Source organism: Homo sapiens, chromosome 12, assembly GCF_000001405.40.
Source record: "Homo sapiens chromosome 12, GRCh38.p14 Primary Assembly".
NCBI lineage: Eukaryota > Metazoa > Chordata > Mammalia > Primates > Hominidae > Homo > Homo sapiens.
The window spans coordinates 77,111,820-77,133,436 of record NC_000012.12 but is presented as its reverse complement, the minus strand read 5'-3'; the positions used below and the strand labels follow the sequence as shown (position 1 = coordinate 77,133,436).

At 37.2% G+C, this 21,617-nt stretch overlaps 1 long non-coding RNA gene across 2 annotated transcripts in view; it reads right to left on the bottom strand.

The window, feature by feature from the left end:
• LOC105369853 (uncharacterized) overlaps positions 1 to 11,030 on the bottom strand; it is a 29,698-nt gene extending 18,668 nt beyond the window's left edge. Inside the window, exons 1-2 of one of the 2 annotated variants that reach the window (XR_945118.2) lie at positions 10,815 to 11,030; positions 4,218 to 4,288 (exon numbers count right to left, since the gene is read on the bottom strand). This is a non-coding gene — a long non-coding RNA (uncharacterized LOC105369853). The remainder of the gene's footprint in view (positions 1 to 4,217; positions 4,289 to 10,814) is intronic. The other variant, XR_945119.1, reaches the window with a different exon arrangement.
• Between the last annotated feature and the right edge of the window lie 10,587 nt (positions 11,031 to 21,617).

Sequence of the window (21,617 nt, the reverse complement as noted above, 5' to 3'; positions counted from 1 at the left end):
TCTTGCTGTGTTACTAAGTTTTTGGTGAAAATGGGTTCTTCCCATTTTCATCTTTAGCCCTCAGTTTCCTAGAGATAAATTCATGAGCATTATGCCGAAAAGCAAATCTCAATAGCAGACAATATGTTGTATTTAAAATTGGCTCCCACTTCTAATTATCCAGCTTGCCTGTTAATTGTCTGTTCTCTTGAAATAAGCTCATTCTGGAGAGTTTTCTCAGGCCTTCTTCCTGACAGACCATGAGTGAACCTGCCCTGATGTCTCTCATTCTAAGATAAGCAAGACTCAGGCTGTATTTGAAAATCCCCACTATACCACATTTCTTTAAAAACCTAGTTTAGTTGAGAGAATGAGTTCTTGTTTCATCCTGACAAGCAAAGAATCCAGGTCCTCAATTTTAATTAAAACATCTTATTGTGGCCAAGCATGGTGGCTCACACCTGTAATCCCAGCACTTTGGGAGGCCTAGGCAGGTGGATTGCTTGAGCTCAGGAGTTTGAGACCAGCCTGGGCAACCTGGTGAAACCCCGTCTCTACAAAAAAAAAATACAATAACAATTAGCCAGGTGTGGTGGCACATTCCTGTAGTCCCAGCTACTCAGGAGGCTGAGATGGGAAGATCGCTTGAGCCCAGGAGGTGGAGGCTGTGGTGAGCCCAGATTGTGCCACTGCACTCCATCCTAGGCAACAGAGGGAGACCCCTGTCTCAAAAAAAATCTTATTTTGGTTTGTTTGCTTATTTGGATTTGCTAATCCTAATCTTGTAAAGAGTATAGTAGTTAAATGATAGTCTTTGGAACAAGTCTATCTGGGTTCATCCTAGTTCCACCAATTATTAGCTATGAGACATTGGAAAAGTTACTTATCACTCTGTGCTTCCCTATTTCTAGCTATAAGATGAATTTAGTGATAGTATATATAGCCTAGGATTTTAGTGAAGATTATTTCACATTAATAAGCAGCATAGGCATATAAACTCATCAACACAGCGATTGGTATAAGATAAGCATTGCATATGGATTTGCTAATATTATTAAACAACTGTTTAGTTGCTGTAACCTTATCAGTTATCACCCATGCAAAGAGCTTCTCATTTAGTGGCACTAGATGAGTAATAATTGATGTGGTCTGGGCATGTGCCAAGTATTATATTTACTTAACACTTCTGTGAAATCTGAATTGGAGAAATAGGATATATAAAGGAAACTGTGCAAATATTTGTACTTATTTGTAATACGGCATTTAATTCCAGCACATGCTACAGTTGTAAGAGTATGTTGCTTGGGAGCTAGTTTGCAAGCAAATGTGTTTATTGGCCTATAGACATCTTTCCTGTGTAAATGCAGCCATGCATTTTAACCAGCAGCTGGCACAGATATATGATATTTATAAATTATATATATATATGTAGCTCATATACAAGGTCCTGTGTGTCAAGCAATATAATTTAATTATATTCTATCAACAAAATGGCAAATTTATACCTATTTCAACCAAAAAAATTCTACCAACAAATATAGAATATTCACTGCTAATTTGTATATTTTCCTTATTCATTAGCTAAAAATACTGGGCACCACTAAATAATGAATTAACAAAATAAAAAAATAAGGTACAAGTGAAAATTTAGATTCGTACACACACAAAAATCTATGCATGGATATTCACAGCAGTTTTACTCCTAATAGCCAGAAATTAACTCCTAGTAGCCAAATGCTCTTCAACAAGTGAAGAGATAAACAAACTATGGTACTTAGTACTATATTTGGTCTTTCCAAATCATGAAATACTACTCAGCAATAAAAAGAAATGAACTGTTGATAAATGCAACAACTTGGATGAATCTCAAGGGAATTGTTCTGAATGAAAAACAGTCCATCTCAAATTATATACCATATGATTCCATTTATATAACATTTTTCAAATGACAAAATTAGAGAAAGGAAATTGATTGGTGGTTGCTAGAGGCTGAGGGAAGGAGAGAAATGGATATGACTATAAAAGAGTATCATAAGGAACCCTTGTGATGGAACTGCTCTGTATCTTGGCTCTCGAGCTTTATAATCCACACATATAAAAAATGCATAGAACTAGATAATAAATGAGTGCATGTAAACTTGATAAAATCTAAATAAGGTTGATGGAGTTTATCAATAGCAATTTCCCAGCTGTGATACTACGCTATAGTTATATAAGATGTTGCCATTAGAAGAAACTGGATAAAAGGCATATGGAAACTCTCTGTATTATTTCTTAAGACTGCACATGAATCAACAATTATTTCAAGACAAAAATTTTATGAAAAAGTGTACCTAAGAACTTTCATTAAGGTATTATATAAAACATCAACTTAAAAATTGGAAATCTAAAAGTGGTTTTATTTCATTACCTTTCAACTCACAATATCTGCTATTTTAAAAGCAGCAATTCCATCATTCTGATTCTATAAATGTTCACTCACTGCTTACTGAGCTCTAGGCACAATAGAAGACATTTCAGCGAAGAAAATATTATATGACCTTTAAAGATATTCTTGTGGTAGGTACTATGATCCCTACTTTACAAATGAAAAAGCAGATTTAGTGCCATTAAGGAATTTGCCCAAAACCTCATATCCATTACATAGCAGGTCTGGCATTTGCTCCCAGCCCAGTGTTTTTTCCAGTCCTTTATCAGTGCAGCCTCTGTTCTTCATAAATCAAAATACCAGATAATTAGAATAAATTTGGGAACTTAAATGACAGGTTTTGTGTTTACTTTTCCAACACAATAAGGGGTTCACCAATTCCTTGTAAATAACCAGTGAAAGAGAAGTTCTTGCTTCTGCATGAACCCTAAGGGACAGGGCCCCGCTCTGGTGCACAGGAATTTGAGCGAGGCTAGTGATGGTGGTAGGTGAGGGCAGTGGCAACACTATAGGAAAACTGAGCTTTGGTCAGGAGGTGAGACTGCTCTTTTTGTCACAAGCTTCTCAGTTGAAAGACGCCCTAATACCTAACTCAGCCCCATCTGCTTTTCCCGGACAGAGCCATTGGCAGGAATCCAATCCAAGCACATCGCATTGTACCTTGGGGACTTACTAACATTTCATCTCTTGAGGGAGAATGCCTCAACTGTGAGGCCACCCGGGGAAAACCTTACATAGGCTATCTGGAATGGGGAGTTGGGTAGTTAGTTTAACTTCCTTCATTGTCCATAATACTAAACACTTGGATTCTTAAACATCTTTAGTTCCCAGGAGCAAGCACTGCTCTTTCACTGGTCATTTACCTCTAAGATTCAGCCAGAGAAGTGAGAGCCTAACCATCATTGAATGAATTGATCCAAAATGAAAACCTGGAGGCCAATAAGCTAATAAAAATCATGAAAATTTGCTGATAACGTTTTTAAAGTTCAAATGCCTGTATTCTCTTGAAAACGCTGCACACAGCCAGAAAGGGCAAGAGCTAAGTGGCAGATATCCCCTTGCAGAAAGTCAGTCACTCTTTAGTTCTTAATTCCAGCAGGGCCTGCTTGACCCAGGTGAGTTACTGGCGGTCCCCAGAAGGCCTTCCAGTTAGCCAACTTTGACTTGGGGAGGTAAGTCTGATCATTCTTAATAAATGACACCTGTGAAAATAACCTGTGTCTCAGAGACTTTCCAGAGGCATCAAGCTCACTATTCAACAGTGTACAGAATGCATTTCCTCAGCCTTTGTGAAAATTCATATTATACCTTAGACTTTAGGGGCAGGGGAGGTAGCATAATAGCAAAAAGCTCTAATAAGGAAATTTGTTCAAAGGAGTTAGAAATTTTTTAAAAACAAGCTACGTATATTTACTGACCACTTACTACGGGCAGTAGTGGCTGTGGTTTAAAAAAAAAAAAAAAGTAAAGTACAAGCATAGTAAAGCACAAGTGCATTTTGTTGTTGTTGTTGTTGTTGCTTCTCAGGCTTTTCTAATGTTTGTTTAGCTTCCCAGACCCCTTGTCCTCCTGGGTCTACAAACTTATTTTAACAAGCACTCTGGGGAATTTTTATCCTCAGGGAGCTTGGTAAATATTGCATTATCTTATTTTATCTTACCACATTCCTATAAAGACAGATACTATTCCTGAAAGGAAAACACAATTTAGATTAGCTTATTTGCCAAGGTCTCTGTCTTAGTTCTTTTGTGCTGCTATAACAGAATACCTGTGACTGTGTAATTTATAAAGAACAGAAATTACTTCTTACAGTTCTGGAGGCTGGAAGTCCAAGACCAAGGTGCCAGTATTTGGTGTGATGAGGACCTTCTTGTTGTGTTCCTAGAAGGCAGAAGACAGAAGGGCAAGCTAGCCAAATACTGGCTGGCTATGTAATGCCTCCAGGGCCTTAATCCCATTAATGATGGAGGAGCCCTCAGGGCTGAATCACCTCTTACAGGCTGCACTTCTTAATGCCATCACATTGGCAACACCTGAATTTTGGAGGGAACACATTCAAACCACGGCAGGCACACTGCTATTGAATTGGTGTGAATCAAGAGTGCACCTAGATCAGGTATTCACAAACTATGGCTCACAGACCTAATCCAGCCCACTGCCTATTTTTTGTTTGTTTGTTTGTTTTCTGAGATGGAGTCTTGCTCTGTCTTTCCCAGGCTGGAGTGCATTGGCATGACCTCAGCTCACTGCAGTCTCCGTCTCCCAGGTTTCAGCGATTCTCCTGTCTCAGGCTCCTGAGTAGCTGGGACTACAGGCATGTGCCACCGTACCTGGCTAATTTTTGTATTTTTAGTAGAGACAGGGTTTCACCATGTTCCCCAAGCTTGTCTCAAACTTCTGACCTCAGGTGACCCACCTGCCTCAGCCATCCAAAGTGCTGGGATTACAAGCGTGAGCCACCATGCCCAGCCTGTTTCTGTTTTGTATTTAGATAAAATATACAGAACAAAAAATTTACCACTTTAGCCATTTTTCAGTTGTAATTCAGTGGCATTTAGTACATTCACATTGTTGTGCCACCATCACCACAAGTCACCTCCAGAATTTTTTCACCATTTCAAACTGAAACTCCAAAACTATTAAACAATGACTCCCCATTCTCTCTTTCACCCAATTTCTAAAACCTACCATTCTATTTTCTTTCTTTCTTTTTTTTTTTTTTTGTGATGGAGTTTCGCTCTTGTTGCCCAGGCTAGAGTGCAATGGCGCAATCTCGGCTCACCACAACCCCCGCCTCCCAGGTTCAAGAAATTCGTCTGCCTCAGCCTCTCAAGTAGCTGAGATTACAGGCATGTGCCACCACGCCTGTATTTTTAGTAGTGACGGGGTTTCTCCATGTTGGTCAGGCTGGTCTCGAACTCCTGACCTCAGATGATCCACCACCTCAGCCTCCCAAAGTGCTGGGATTACAGGCATGTGCCACTGTGCCCGGCCTATATTTTCTGTCTGTATGATTTTTGACTAATCTAGGTACCTCATATAAATTGAATAATACAATATTCATCTTTTTGTGACTGGCTTATTTCACTTAGCATAATGTCTCCCAGATCTATGCATGTTATAGCATGTGTCAGAATTTGCTGCCTTTTTAAGGCTAATAATATTCCATTGTATGTAGTATATGCCATTATTTTTTATCCATTCATCTGTCACTAGACACTTTTATTGCTTCCACCTTTCGGCTATTGTGAACAATGCTGTTATAAATATGGGTGTATAAAAATCCATTCAAGTCCCTGCTTTTAATACACAGAAGTAGGATGCCTGGATCATATCGTAATTGCATTTTTAATTTTTTGAGGAACTGCCATATTATTTTCCATAGCAGCTTCACCATTTTACATTCCCACTACAAATGCACAAGGGTTCCAATTTTTCCATATCCTTGTCAATACTTGTTATTCTCTGGTTTTTTAGTCATCCTAATCATATGAGGTGGTATCTCATTGTGGTTTTGGTTTGCAGTTCCCTGCTTTTAGTGATATTGGGCATTTTTCATGTGCTTATTGTTCATTTGTATATCTTCTTTGGAGAAATATCTACTCAAGCCGTTTGTCTATTTTTTAAATTGGGTTGTTTGTTTCTTGTTGCTAAATTGTAGGAATTCTTCATTTATTCTGGATATTAATCCCTTATCAGATATATGATTTGCAAATATTTCCTCTGTGACTTTTCACTCTGTTGAGAATGTTACTTAATGCACAGAAGTTTTTACTTCGATGAAATCTATGTGTTTTTTTTTCTTTCATTGTCCATGCTTTTGGTATCATATCCAAGACACCACTGTAAAGTTCAATGTCATGAAGCATTTCCCTTATGTTTTCTTCTAAAGGTTTTAGAGTTTTAGCTCTCAGGTTTAGGTCTTTTATTCTCTTTGAATGAATTTTTTGTATATAGTATAGGCAAAAATTTCTTGCTGCCCAGGGAACACTGATTTTTAAATTAAAAATGTGAGTCTTTAGCATTGCCCCTCTTTCAGCTGCCATAACTGGCTCTTCTGTGATTTTCTCCCCCTCTAAGTATGTTGTGTTTAATAGAACTTACATTTTCAACCTTTTTCCTGATGTATTCTCTCTGACATTATTTCAACTTTGTCTTTTTTCCAAAGAATTTTTATTGCCAGTAGCCCCAGAGTTTACACCAAATCAATCAACCCATTAAAACTCTGCAAAATTAACACCTATAATTCTACTTTGTTTTTATTGAAATAAAAATGGGGCTGGTTTTGTCCTCTATCTTCAATCCCTTCTTGGGGAATCAGCCCTGCCCGCTCTTGTCAGATTAAGGTACTGGAAACAAAGATAGGATGTTAGTGAAGACATACTTATTTTGGAGGCAGTGGGGAAGTTATGATTCACATACCACACAATTCAACGATTTAAAGAGTATAATTCAATAACTTTTAATATAGTCACAAAGTTGTGCATCTGTCAGCACAACTAATTTCAGAAGATTTCTGTCACCCCCCCCCAAAAAAGAACAAACCCCGTAGCTCTTGTCTCTGACCCTTCCATGCCCCCTAAGCCCTGGGAAGCCACTAATCTACTTTCTTTTTTCTTTTTTTTTTCTTTTCTTTTTTTTTTTTTTTTTTTTTTTTAAGACAGGATCTTACTCTTTTACCCAGGCTGGAGTGCAGTGGCACAATCATTGCTCACTGCAGCCTTAAACCCCTGGGCTCAAGCAGTTCTCCCACCTCAGCCTCCCAAGTAGCTGAGACTACAGGAAAGTGCCACCATGTCCAGCTTTTTTTCTTTTTAGAGGTAGGAATCTTGCTTTTTGCCCAGGCTGGTCTTGAACTATTGGCTTCAAGGGATCCTCCCACCACAGCCTCCCAAAGTGCTGGGATCACAGGTGTGAGCCACTGTGCCTGGCCTACTTTCTATCTTTATAGATTTACCTATTCTGCACATTTCATGTAAATGGAATCATACGATATGTATTCCTTTGTGACTGGCTTCTTTCACTTAGCACAGTGTTTTCAAGGTTCAACCATGTTGTACCATGTAGAAGTAAATTTCTTGTAATCACCAAATAATGTTTCATTGTATTGATATACCACATTTTACTTATCCATTAATCAGTTGATAGACTTTTGGGCCATTATGAATATGCTGCTATAAATATTTGAATATAAGTTTTTATGCAGACTTATGTTTTCATTTCTCTTTGTTATATACGTAAGAGTAGAAATGCTGGATCGTATGGTAAGTATGTTGAACCATTTGAGGAACTGCCAGCCTGTTTTCCAAAGTGGCTGTATTATTTTGCATTCCCACCAGTGATCTAAGAGGGTTTCAATTTTTCAACATTCTTGAAAATACTTACTGTCTTTTTTATTCTAGCCATCCTAGTGGGTGTGAAGTGGTAATTTATTGTGAGCTGAGTCACATTTTTGATAGCATCAACTAAGTCTTGTGGGATACTGAAGCCCTCTGCACACCTGATTCTCAGTGAGTTCAAGTCTAAGTCCCCAGGCTCCCTCCTGCTCCCCAGACCTCATTGCTCTTTTTCTACAATGACTGCTGTACTCCAATCCCTCCCAGCCCCTGGTCCTGCTTGAAGAAGGCCCTTATCTACATGACTCCAAAGATCTACATCTGAGTGTCAGACCCTCCTACAATAAGCTTGCAGATTTTGTGTCAGCTTCCAGGAGCTTACTGAAATCTCTGAAATTCTATGCGCCCCTGGAGCATTTGTTGATGCTCATTCCATTTCATTGAACTACATTTATCAGGTAATAGTTAAAATTAAGAAATCTGAGCTTTTTTTGCTCTTTGCTTTCCCACTTTAGGTTGCCTTCTGGGCCTTCACTTACCAATGGTCCTAGGGCACCAAAGGAGGTTGACATGTCGCCATGGATCCATCTACTTCAAATGCTATTTATTAGAATTCTCTCTCTCTCTATGACAAAGATAATGCCCCATGTGGGCGTTTTTACTAAGATCCTTTCTCTAACACAAGAGATATTTCTTGTTCTCACTGATTTGCACAGCAAGGATGACTGATGTTTCCAGAACTGAATATATGACCAAGTCCTTTCTGACTCAGAATAACCATCTCTTTGTTCATCCCTGAATTCTCTCTAGTAACCCACACTGTTGCCTTAACCCCATAGGGACTTTTTTCTGGAAGGGTGATTAACCTCAAATATTATAGTGTTTCCAAACCAAAGTGTCTTTAAGACTGGTAATTTTTCTTCAAGGAAAGAGCAGGATGGTCCCTAAAAAAGATTCTTAGGCCAATTTATTTATACTTTTAAGTCCCTTTGGCTGATTTTCGTGGTCTAAAATTGTAATTTAGGTATCAAATTATTTCAGTGTTTGCTACTTCTGGATTAAAGGTTTATCTCTAAATTCATGGTTTCTCTTACAATTTAGTAGCATGTATTGTTTAACATTGAAATTTTTTCAAGATGTTTCTTCCAAGTGGAAAAAGAAATGAATTCATTATCTGAATTTTTTGATGTTGGGAAATGCAAATAAAAGCAACAATCAACAAACAAGCAGTTGTTTTCTTTACAATTACTACACAGCTATTACAATGGCTAAAATCCAAAACCTTAACAGCATCAAATGCTGGCAAGAATATGGAGAAACAGGAACTTTCATTCACTGCTGGTGAGAATGCAAATGGCACAGACACTTTGGAAGACAGTTTGGTGGTTTCTTACAAAGCTAAATATACCCTTGCCATATGATCCAGTAATCACATTCGTTGGTATTTACCCAAAGAAATTGGAACCATGTCCCTACAAATACCTACACATGGATGTTTAAAACAGCTTTATTTATAATTGCCAAAACTTAGAAACAACTGAGGCATCCTTAAGTAGGTGAATCGGTAGATAAACTGTAATTTGTCCAGACAATGGAATATTATTCAGTGCCAAAAGCAGTTAGCTATCATGCCATGAAAAGACATTGAAGGAAACTTAAATGCATATTACTAAGTAAGAGAAACCAATCTGAAAAGGCTACATACTGTATAATTCCCATTAAATGACATTCTGGGAAAGGCAAAACTATGAAGACAGTAAAAAGAGCAGTGGTTTACAGTGAGTAGCAGTAAGAAAACAATAAGTGGGCAGAGCACAGAATATTTTGAGGGCAATGAAACTACTGTGTATGATATTATAGTAGTGAGTACATGTTAATATAAATTGGTCTGAAACTATAGAATGTATAACACCAAGAGTGAACCACGTAAACTGTGGGCCATGTAAACTATGGAGTCTGGATGAAATGATGCATCATGCAGGTTTATCAGTTATAACACAGGTCCCACTCTGGTGGCAGAGGTTAATATGGGGAGAGGCTACATATGTGTGAGGGCAGAGAGTATTGGGGAATCTCTGTACCTTGCACCCAATGTCGCTGTGAAACTAAAACTACTCAAATAATAAAGTCTAATTAAAAAGTTATTACCTTTATAATATTGGTAGCAATGCCCTTGATGTTTAGTATATTATTCTAAGCCAGAATATAATTTTTATAAATAGCTCCTGTCATTTTTTACACCTCTCCTTATCCCACATTTGATTTATTGATGAGTTTTATTCATTCTGCTTCCACAATACATCCTGGGATTTTCCCCTTCCGTTCATTTAGACTGTCATCCCTGTGGGAAAGTCTACTACCATCATCTATCAACTAGGCAATGTATTAAAGTTCTTTCTCTTCATTGTTCTCCCTGATTCCTTTTGTCTCCCTTCAATCCACCCTCCATACAACAGTCTGAGGCTCCTGTCATTCCTCAACTAAAACTCAAAGGCGTCCCCTGTCCTTACAATAAAAATCCAATGCCCTTAACATGACTAAGGTGTAAGAAGCCCTGTGCTGATCTAGCTTCTCAAAACTTATTCTAACCCATGACCACTCTCCTCTTTATTTCCAAAGCTACACTCATATCAGCCTCCTCTAGGTTCCTCATATTAATACTTGCCACATCCTTTCACTAGGGTCTCTGTAAGTGTTGTTTCCTGGGCCTGGCATGGCCTTCTCATTTTCTTCTCTTGAAATTGCCAGCTCAAGTCCCTGCTCAAATGTCACTACCTCAGAGAGACTTTCCTAACCAGATAACCTAAAACTGGTTCACTGCCAGCCCCTGGTTCTCTCTCATAGCATCCTACTTTTTTTTCAAAGATCTTTCACAATCTGAAATTTCATCTTTATCAGTATTTACTTCTTTTCCCTCCATTATATAAGTTCTAATAAGGCAAGGACTAGTTTTGTTTTGATCCACTTTATAACAGTACCTAGCACATTGTAGACCCTCATAAAAACATGAATGAATGAAAGGACAAATGAAAAAAAAATCAGTGCTCAAAGATGTAGTAGTCCCTCCTTACCTGTGGTTTCACTTTTTCCAGTCTCAGTTACCCACAGTCAACTGCAGTACAAAAATATTACATAGAAAATTCTAGAAAGAAAAATTCATGAGTTTAAAATTGTGTGCTATTCTGAGTAGTATGATGAAATCTCAGGCCATCCTGCTCTGTCTCATGTAGGGACGTGAATCATTCCTTTGTCCAGCATATCCTTGCTGCCTAATCAACCAGACTGTTAGTCACTGAGCAGCCGCCTCAGTTATTAGGTTAACTGTTGTGGTATGTCAGTGCTTGTGTTCAAATAATCTTTATTTGACTTCATAATGGCCCCAAAGCGCAAAAGTAGTGATACTGGCAACTCGGATATGCCAAAGAGAAGCTGCAAAGTGCTTCCTTTAAGTGAAAAGGTGAAAGCCCTTGACTTAATAAGTAAAGAAAAAAATCATACACTGAGGTTGCTGAGATCTATGGTAAGAACAAATCTGTCAAACTGTGAAGAAGGAAAAAGAAATTCATGCTAGTTTTGCTGTCCTACCTCAAACTGCAAAAATTATATCCACAGTGCATAAGTGCTTAGGCAAAATAGAAAAGGCATTAAATCTGTAGGTAGAAGACATAAACAGAAATTTGTTCCAATTGACAGCAATCTGGTTCACTACTATCCACAATTTCAGGCATCTTGGAACATATCCCCTACAGATAACGAGGGACTACTGTATACAACATTTGTTCAAAGTAGGAGCTAATCCTGTTCTAAGTCAGAAATAAAACCATAATTCCTTCTGTTTTCATCCAGCTCTTGAGCCATTGTATTATACTTTTCCTCAAGGAGCATAAAGGATTGTTTTTCTGGTTATACATAGAGTAGAATGGCAGAAACTAAGGACTTTCAGAATTCAAACCCCTAATTCAAAACTGCCACATTCCATGACTAATGTGAACCATAGGCTATCACTAATATAGATTAAACTATTGTGAATATGACTATTATTCTTAATCAATAATTATTGACAACTATATTCAAAACTGGAAGACCCAGAGAATAGTTGCTACTTCAGTGGATTTTTCACTGAATCATAACTTCAATATAATACCTTATTTTACTGTTAAATCTAAATTAATGAATGTTATCATGAATTAATATGAGCAACTTTTATCATAATATCATATATATTTGTTTTGATGACTCTGTGTACTGTTTCATTTTTACCCACTAGCTTTCCAGTTATCTTCTGTTTAAATTTGAGCAACTTTGAAAACGAATGAAGTTTATAAGCTCTACTGAGAATGTAAAACATTGCATGCTAAATTTGTTTGAAGTTTTTCTATTTTATATCACTTATTAGTCACAGACTGCACAACTTGGAAAGATTAAAAGTCTAAAAAGTATTTGAATTCTACAGACTCCTTTTGTTTCTAATTTTATAAAATTTCTGCCAAATTTTTCTCAGAATTGACTACTTTATCATATTCAGTCTATGAGAAGCACTCCTGCTTAATTCTGGCCATTTTTGTAGTCCCTAGACATGTATCTATCACTGTTATAGTCATCATTGTTTTCTAGTAATGCATACATGATCTCATGTCATAGAGATGTAGTTCTATATGTGCTCATGTTCTCCCCTATTTTATATATTTTGTCCATCTTCTTTGTTAGATCATAACTCTCTTGTGATGAAAATCATGTCTACAGCTGCATCTTTTGAAACTTTCCACAGATCCTGGCAAAGCCCTCTGCCCATTGTAGCTACTTCATAAACATTGGCTCATTGCCTAAAGAAAGCAATTGACAACTCAGTCATAAAGAATTCACAATGGCACATAAATTTATCAGTTTAATTTTTTATATTCCTGTGGAGGTGATGTACAAAACTATTTTCTAATCTTAGGTGAGATCAACTCTTACAATCAGTCTAATAAGTATAAGAAAAAAACTAAATAACATTTACATTTGTGGTTGCCTAATTTTGTAATAGTAGGCTTTTCAGTATGTAAAAGTTAAGCTTGCATGAACAAAATTGGAAAGGAATGTATTCTGTTTATCTGAATTTCCTTAATTTGCTTCTTTCCTTAATGTACAAATTTGAGATGTGTGATATCAACTTGGGAGACATATATCAACGATAATATTTTATAAGAGCATTTTCTAAAATAATACAAAAATGCAGAATAATAGGATGGATTTGTTGGAGAAATAATGGGCTTTGAATCTGGATATTTCTGGGTTCAGATCTCAGCCCTGCCACTTACTCATTACATGACCTTGCATGTGTCACTTCCCCTCTCAAAGTCCTGGTTATTTCAACTGTAAAATGGAATAAATAATCTACCACACAGTGTTGTTATGGGGATTGAATGAGTCAGGATCCATAAAATGTTGACTACAGATAGTGCAAACAAATGCCTAGAGAATATTTTTATTAAATTTTCTTCCATAATAGCTTCCCTTTTGTTAAGATATTGGCTGCTGGAATGGGATATAGTGGGAGGAAGAAATTATGCAAATCTCTTGGGTGATCAGGTAGCTGCTGCAACAGGTAGCAACGTTTCTCACCCCAGTTTCTCCCCTCCTCCTCACAATAAACAAGGCTTTTCAGCAACAGTGGTCTCCTGGAAAAATCAAACAGTACAGTGCCCAGTACAACGTTTATTTGTGTAGTTTTCCTCTCTTTTTACATAATATTTTTATTCTCCTCTCTGTTTACATAATACTTTCATTTTAAAACAAAAGATAAGGTTATGGCAACATCTGGGCATTGCCCCCCCAAAATCTTCAATAATCCTTAAGAGACTCAGCAGTCTCGAGTCCAGTTAATCTCACCTCCCCTTCCCACACACACACCAGTCTCTCCTCACTATGATCCACCCGCACCCACATTTGTCACCAGAATTCTCCTCTTACAGTTTAGCCTTGGGCCTGTCTTTCCACATTCAAGAACATTCTGGCACGCCCCATTTCCTAAAGTTAAACTTTTTGCTTTGGCTCCCACGGCCTTCCATAATCTAAAACCCACCTTTCTTTCTACTCTAAACTCTCACTACACTCTGATGGGGTCAAAGAGAGTTATTGATCAATCTTGAATATGCCCTAAACCACATGCCTTAATTATGGCTCTTCTCTCTACCTAATACACCAAATTTCCATGTATAACTATTAAAACCCTATCTTTTCTTTAAAATTCAATTAACATATCTTACTTTCTTTGGCTTAATCTACCTAAAACTCACTCTTATCTCCTCTTCATTACCTGAGCGCTTGCTCACCATTTAAATTCCAAATGTGAGAGTTATATCCTCTTTGGAGTCCCCCAAGATAAATTTCCCCATGTCTCTAACTTCAGGTAGAATCAATCACTGCACTAAACTATTTGTTATCCATTTCCGTTGTAGTCTTTCCCTATAATACTTTGCTGGTCTCACTTGCTCATCTCTCCCCAATTAGACTCCCTGTCCTTTAAGAGCATGTTCTGTATGCCCAATACACACCACTTATTCCTCTGTGTAATGTCGCTAAATGCATTTGCTGAATAAATGAAACTCTTCATGAAGACTGCACTGTTCTTTCCCAGATTTCATCCAAATACACTTTTTCTCTCTGTGGCACAACAGCTCTCTGTATTTCTATTATTGGACATAACCACATTATTCCCTGATGTATGATTACACGTGTCCTTGTATTTTCCTTCTTACTAGATAACAAAATCCCTGAGAGAAACAACAGGGTGTTTCTCAAGGAGACACTCATGCCTACCACAGTTTTTCAAATGGGAGGTGTTTACCGAATATGAACAGCTTTGTAACTCTTTAAACTACATCAGAAAGGCCATCAGAAGAGCATGACTCATGCTTGCTCTTTGAAGAGAGAGTACTATCATTTGCAAAAGTTGATGTAATTTAAATCAAATGTATTAATCCCTAAAGTAACAGGACAGATCCACCAAAATTATTCAGACCAGGAGGTGGAAACAGACTGGTAGTGAAAGAATAACGCACCTTTGGTATAAAGTAATAGATAGAGCAGTGACTAGGATTAACTTTATAGAGTTCTTGACCACTATCAGTTAGTATTACCACATCTTCAAGTGTTTCAAAAGAAAACTAAAATATGTATTTTATATAATATCCCCCCAGTTTGTTAATGTTGGTAACCAATTCACCTTAAAAGAATAAAAAACACAGTACAATCAAAACTTAGTACATCTCTGGGTCAGGTAAGACCTATAAGCTGTAAAATTTCCTGACGTCTCTCCTCTGAATTGATTGTAATGCCTCCTAGTCATTGAAAGTTCATTTTGAGTAACACCCTGTGCTAGGAATTCTGCATTAATCATACAATTAACTTTGCCTTCCTATAATCTGGGTATCATTGATCTGGATTACATTAAGATATCCACTTTACAAATGAGGAAACTGAGACACTGGGAGATTTAAGTTACACACATCAGATGATGTTATCAAACATGTCACCCTCCCTTGAGAAAACTCAGATTTTTGACCAACTGCAATGTAAAAATGACTTTGAGTCATGCACGCTTCCAAGCATGCTATTATTTTACTTCTCCCTGGTATTTTGATCTCCAAAATACCTGATCAAAATAAAACCAAGGTTGAGAACTTCTTCTCTAGAAAATAAAAGTAAGTGGAGATATACCTAATGTAAATGACGAGTTAATGGATACAGCACACCAACATGGCACATGTATACATATGTAACAAACCTGCACATTGTGCACATGTACCCTAGAACTTAAAGTATAATAAAAATATATATAATAAAAAAGAAAATAAAAGTAAGTAAAATTGCTAAAATGTATTATATACATACATATATATATATATATATATATATAAATCTTACCTTAAGGCTATGACTATTGGTCTTTCAAAAGACAGCCCACTATAAACATTGCATAGAAAAACATCTTAAATATCTTTATCCAAATATGAGATTAAAACCAGGAAGAATATAAACAAGCAGGGGTGAAGCCAAGAATGATGGCACAGACATTTGGGAAAGATTAAAACTAATAAGCACTGCATTCAGAAAACTTTTTAAAGTACAGACTATATTCAAAGGTGTGTGTTCAAGGAGTTATTTTAACAGCTTAGAGGACCGATGATGGTGTCAGATTTGTGAGACACTTCAGAACTAGAATTCATAGGAATTGGTGACTAATTTGAAGTGGAGGGTACTTGAGAGGGAGTAATCAGGGATGATGACTTAGAGAGCAGGGGGAAGATGGTGTTGTCATTAACTAAGATAAGGAAACATACAGAAAAGAGCAAAACTTGGTGTGGAGTAGATAATGGAGTATATTGACAATGAAAGAGGGTTCCAGAGGGCACGGCAAAGTGGACAGATGGCACTCAATAAAACAAGAGCCAGGCGAAGAGGGTGAGTTGGATGAAGATGAGATGGCATTGAGAGCCTAGGAGAGGGCAGGAGTCCAGGCATCCTTGTCTCCTAGGTCATTTTCATGAGTCACAAGAAGAGTCTGAAAATTACCAAATGGCCAGGAGAAACATGGTAATGATGGAATAGGGCAGTGCACTAAAGTTCAGTTCCAATATTCCAAATGGTACTATGCTGTCACAGTTCAGTGGTTCCAACTCCACGGAATCATTGCTTGCTATTTACAATGTAAGCAAGCCCACTGAGTTTTCAAATTGTGCAGTGCAAAGCCCAAAGGATTTTACTGAGGGGCTTTAGGGTTCACAGAACACTGAAGGAATCAAGTTCTGGACCCCATCCTAATCCAATCAGTGAAATTTTCTCAATTTTTTTTATATGTTGGGCTTCTTAGTTAAAGGCCCCTGATAAAAAAGAATTCCACTGCTTTAAAAATAAAAAGCTTAAAAATAACTGAAGTGTCTTATTATCCAATTTTGAAGTACATCTGAAGTATTATTTTGTATTATAAAGTAATGATGTTTATAAATCACAGTCAACTTAAAGATATCCTACTAATAATGCCATTCTTGCTAACACTTCTAGTTGCATTCTTGGGTTGGAGAAAAAGACTAAAGATATTTCTAGTGTGGTAGGAGTTTTAGTAAACCCAGCTACACCAGTGGGAATGTGTTGTTTATGTGAAAGTCATCCTTCCTGTGTGTTAATAGAAATAAATGTTGAGAGCTGGCCATCCTGATGATAGCCAAAGTCCTTAAAAGCTGGAGAATATCCAACTCCCCAACTTCCAACCCATGACCAAGGAAGGATGGATGAATCACTGAAGGGTCAAAGGGAGAGGTCCCTCCTAAAGACCACAAGTCAAAGCTGTGGACAACGGAGTTGCACTTAAGGGCCGCATGGAGATAAAGGGACAAATCAAGCTGAAACCTGTTCAGAAAAGCCAAACCAAAGCAACACCAAATCTAGCATGAAAAAGCAGTAAGTAATGTAAGTAGAAGCAAGCATGACAGTGATGAAAAAGGAGATATCATCAAAGCAAATTTAGTTCTATATGTGTGTGCATGGGAATGCTGAGTTATCTTAAACAGTTGGAGCAGGCAAATAGATGCCCCCATTCTGCCTCAAAGAGCATTAATTCTTCAAGCCTCAGCAACAATGGCTTCCTAAAACTATGTCTCAACTTAGATGATAATTCATGGGAGGTTCTGAAAGAGCAAAAATAAGAGAAATACATTTTATAAGATTTGATTAACAGTATAATTTTACTATACCTTTTGTATCTACATTGGGGGTTGTTTCCGTGTGCCTTGTCTCAGCCCTATCCTATAGGTATATGAGATTTGCAAAGTAAATAAAGACTTGATGCAGGAAACAATCCAGGAAAAACAATAGGGTGCCTGGCCATCAGGAGCTGAAACTGAATTGACTGTCAGGACAAAAATATAAAAATCAGAAGCAGCATCTTTGGGGAGCAAATCATTGTACACACTATAAAGACAGTCCCCTAGAAATGCAGTTGTAAGAGGGCATGACACAGTAATAGAGCAAAGATCCAGTGAGCAGATAGTTTCAACACAGGCAGTGACCACAGAGGAGGAGTTCTCTGGAGAGTTAAAGAGATACGATTTAGTACAGCAAACAAACTAATACTCATTCAATTCTAGATTTGTACTAGATGTTTATTAAGCCTGTTGGTAAGAACCAATGTAGAAACACCAGAACATGCTTCTACCTCTTACTTCAAGACATTCTTGCTCTTCCTAGTCATAACTCATTCATTCATTTGCTTGATAATAAAACTATTATAACAATTTAATACTATCATTAATAATGTATAGGATACTTTATTGCTCGTCATTATATTAAACTTTTTAAATATATGATTTAATTTAGCCTTCATAAGAAACCAGTGTTGTTATTATGAATGATGGTACAACCAGGTGTCTTTAACATACGCATAACACACACCAACAATCACCATTACCCATTCCTGACTCTTTGATGTGGACAATTGACATTTTTGAAAAGTGCTATGCAAGCTCAGTGTAAAGCTCCCCTTTCAGCCAGATTGCCAGCACAAGCCTCTTCTAAAAAGAAATTCTGGAACTATCTTTGATTATTATCCCTGCAGATGAGGAAATATAGCTCAGAGAAGCTCAGGTCACACAACCAGGATTCAAATCCACATAGCATTCCTCACAGAGTACACACTCTTAGTGTCTATATGCCTTACAGGCACCCAGAGAAAATGGGAATTTTGTGAAACTGTTAGCCAAAAATCTATAGCCTGCAGATTTTAACTTTATATTAATTATTTCTTCTAATTCAACTTTGTATTGTTTGTGTGTGCTAAGGCCTTTGTGATGGTTAATACTGAGGGTCAAATTGATTGGATTGAAGGATACAAAGTATTGATCCTGGGTGTGTCTGTGAGGGTGTTGCCAAAGGAGACTAACATTTGAGTCAGTGGGCTGGGAAAGGCAGACCCACTCTTAATCTGGGTGGGCACCATCTAATCAGCTGCCAGCACGGCTAGAATATAAAGCAGGCAGAAAAATGTGAAAAGACTAAACTGGCCCAGCCCCCCAGCCTACATCTTTCTCCCATACTGGATGTTTCCTGCCCTTGAACATCAGACTCCAAGTTCTTCAGTTTTGAGACTGGAACTGGCTCTCCTTGTTCGTCAGCTTGGAAATGGTCTATTGTGGGACCTTGTGATTATGTGAGTTAATACTTAATAAACTCCTCTTTATACATATATATCTATCCTACTAGTTCTGTCTCTCTAGAGAACCCTAAAGGGGTTCCTTCAGGATACATACAGTCCTAATACAATCCTTTAGGTTACAAGACACAAGTATTATCAGTTTAACCGTGTAGTAGGAATTGGTTGCAAGGATGTACAAGGAAATGGACAACCCAGAAACTTATTTCAGTAGTCGCTCAGTTCGCCTTCATGGACCTGGTAAGTAATTTATCCCCATTCAGAAAACGACAGACATCCACAGTCCCAGAGACCCCATAGCATCTGTTTGTCATCCCCTGAAATGGTCATGAGCTGTTGACTCATTCTTGTGACTCAGCTTCCCTTTGTCCCAGCCTCTCTTCAATGTGGCTGTCCTACTGCTGCCTAATTGTTCTCCTGCTGTGTGCCTTACCTTATAAACTCCAAAAGAGAAAGGATTCAATTTGGTTGGTAGGTCAATATCTAAACTGGAATCCCTTATGGTATGCCATGAAACATTGAGGAAAGTCTCTTAGGAGACTAAGATTTAAAAATAGAACTATCATATGATTCAGCAATTCTACTCTTGGGTATATATCAAAAGGAAATGAAATCAGGATATTGAAGAGATATCTGTACTCCTGTGTTCATTGCAGTGTTATTCATGATACCCAAGATACAGAATCAAACTCAGTGTCTATCAATAGATAAATTAATAAAGAAAATATAATATATAATTGTCTCTCAAATACCTCAAGGATATCAAATCCTCAGATTATCAAGTTCCTTATATAAAATAGCATAGTATTTGCATATAACCTACACATAACCTTCCATATACTTTAAATCATCTCTAGTCCGGGCGCGGTGGCTCACGCCTGTAATCCCAGCACTTTGGGAGGCCGAGGTGGGCGGATCACGAGGTCAGGAAATCCAGACCATTCTGGCTAACACGGTGAAACCCCGTCTCTACTAAAAAATACAAAAAATTAGCCGGGCATGGCGGTGGGCGCCTGTACTCCCAGCTACTCTGGAGGCTGAGGCAGGAGAATGGCGTGAACCCGGGAGGCGGAGCTTGCAGTGAGCGGAGATCGCGCCACTGCACTCCAGCCCGGGCGACAGAGCGAGACTCCGTTTCAAAACAAACAAACAAACAAAAAAAAAACTCTCTAGATTACCTGTAATACCTAATACAATGTAAATGCTATGTAAATAGCTGTTATATAGTATCGTTTTTTGTTTCTGTTTTCTACTGCTGTCATTTTTAAAAATCTTTTTATTCCAAAGTTGGTTGAATTTGCAGATGCAGAACTTGTGGATATAGATAATCGGCTGTACATACACACTGGAATACTATTCAGCCTTAAAAATAGAAAATCTTCTTATTTGTAACAACATTAATGAACCTGGAGGACATTATGTTCAGTTAAATAAGCCAAGCACAGAAAGACAAATACTGCATTATCTTACTTATATATGAAATCTATAAAAGTCAAACTCATGGAAGAGGTAGGAAGTAACAAGAGGGGAAATGAGGATATGTAAGTTAAAGGATATAAAATTTCAGTTAGAGAGGAGGAATAAGTTCAAGAGATCTATTGTACGATGGTAACTATAGTTAATAATAATGTATACTTGAAAATTGCTTAAAAAGTAGATTTTAAATATTCTTGCCACAAATAGCTGATACTTTTGTGAGGTAATGCATATATTGATTAGCTTGATTTAGCCATTCCACAATGTACACATATTTCAAAACATCATGTTGTATACCAGGAATGTTTACAAAAATTTGTTAAGGAAGACAAATAGACAGAGGCAAGAAACTTGGAAAGACTGTGCAATGGAAAGAAAACCTCAAAAATGTATTAATATTTTTTATAGAAAAATGTACCTATGAGACAAAAATAGGATGGCGTAAAAACGAATACTCAGAAATCAAAAAGAATCTCTTGAAAGAAATTAAAAGATGGTAATAGAATTATAGTGAATAAACCAAGAGTAAAAACAAAATTGAACAGTAAAAAAAAATTCAATTAATCCAAAAGAAGGTAGAAAAATAGGAAAAATGAACAATTATTAGATGGACAAATAGAAAACCAATGGCATAATGGATGGTCTATTTAAATCCAACCAGATAAATAATTACATTAAATGAAATGATCTAAACATGCCAATTAAAAGGCAGAGGTTGTCAGTCTGCATAAAGAATAAAAACACAACTATATGCTATGTACAAGGAGCCACTTTAAATATAAAAATAGATAGGTTTAAAGTAAACAGATAAAAAAGATGTACAATAAAACCCTGCAAAGGAACATGAGGAAACATTCTGGTGTAATTGAAATGTCCATGTATTGATTGAGTATACATGGTCAAACCTTATTAAGCTGTACCCTTAAATAAGTGTGTTTTGTTTGTATAAATTATACCTCTATAAAATTGATGTTTAAAAATTTAAAAGATGATTGTAGAAATTTAAAATAGCAGAAAGACTAAAAGAAATAATTGCCAGGCACAGTAGCTCAAGCTTGTAATCCCAACAGTTTGGGAGGCCCAGGCAGGAGGATTGCTTGAGCCTAGAAGTTTGAGGCCAGCCTGAGCAATATGTCAAGACCCTCTCTCTACAAAATAAAAAATAAAAAATTAGCCAGGCACGGCGGTGCACTACTGTGGTCCCAGCTAC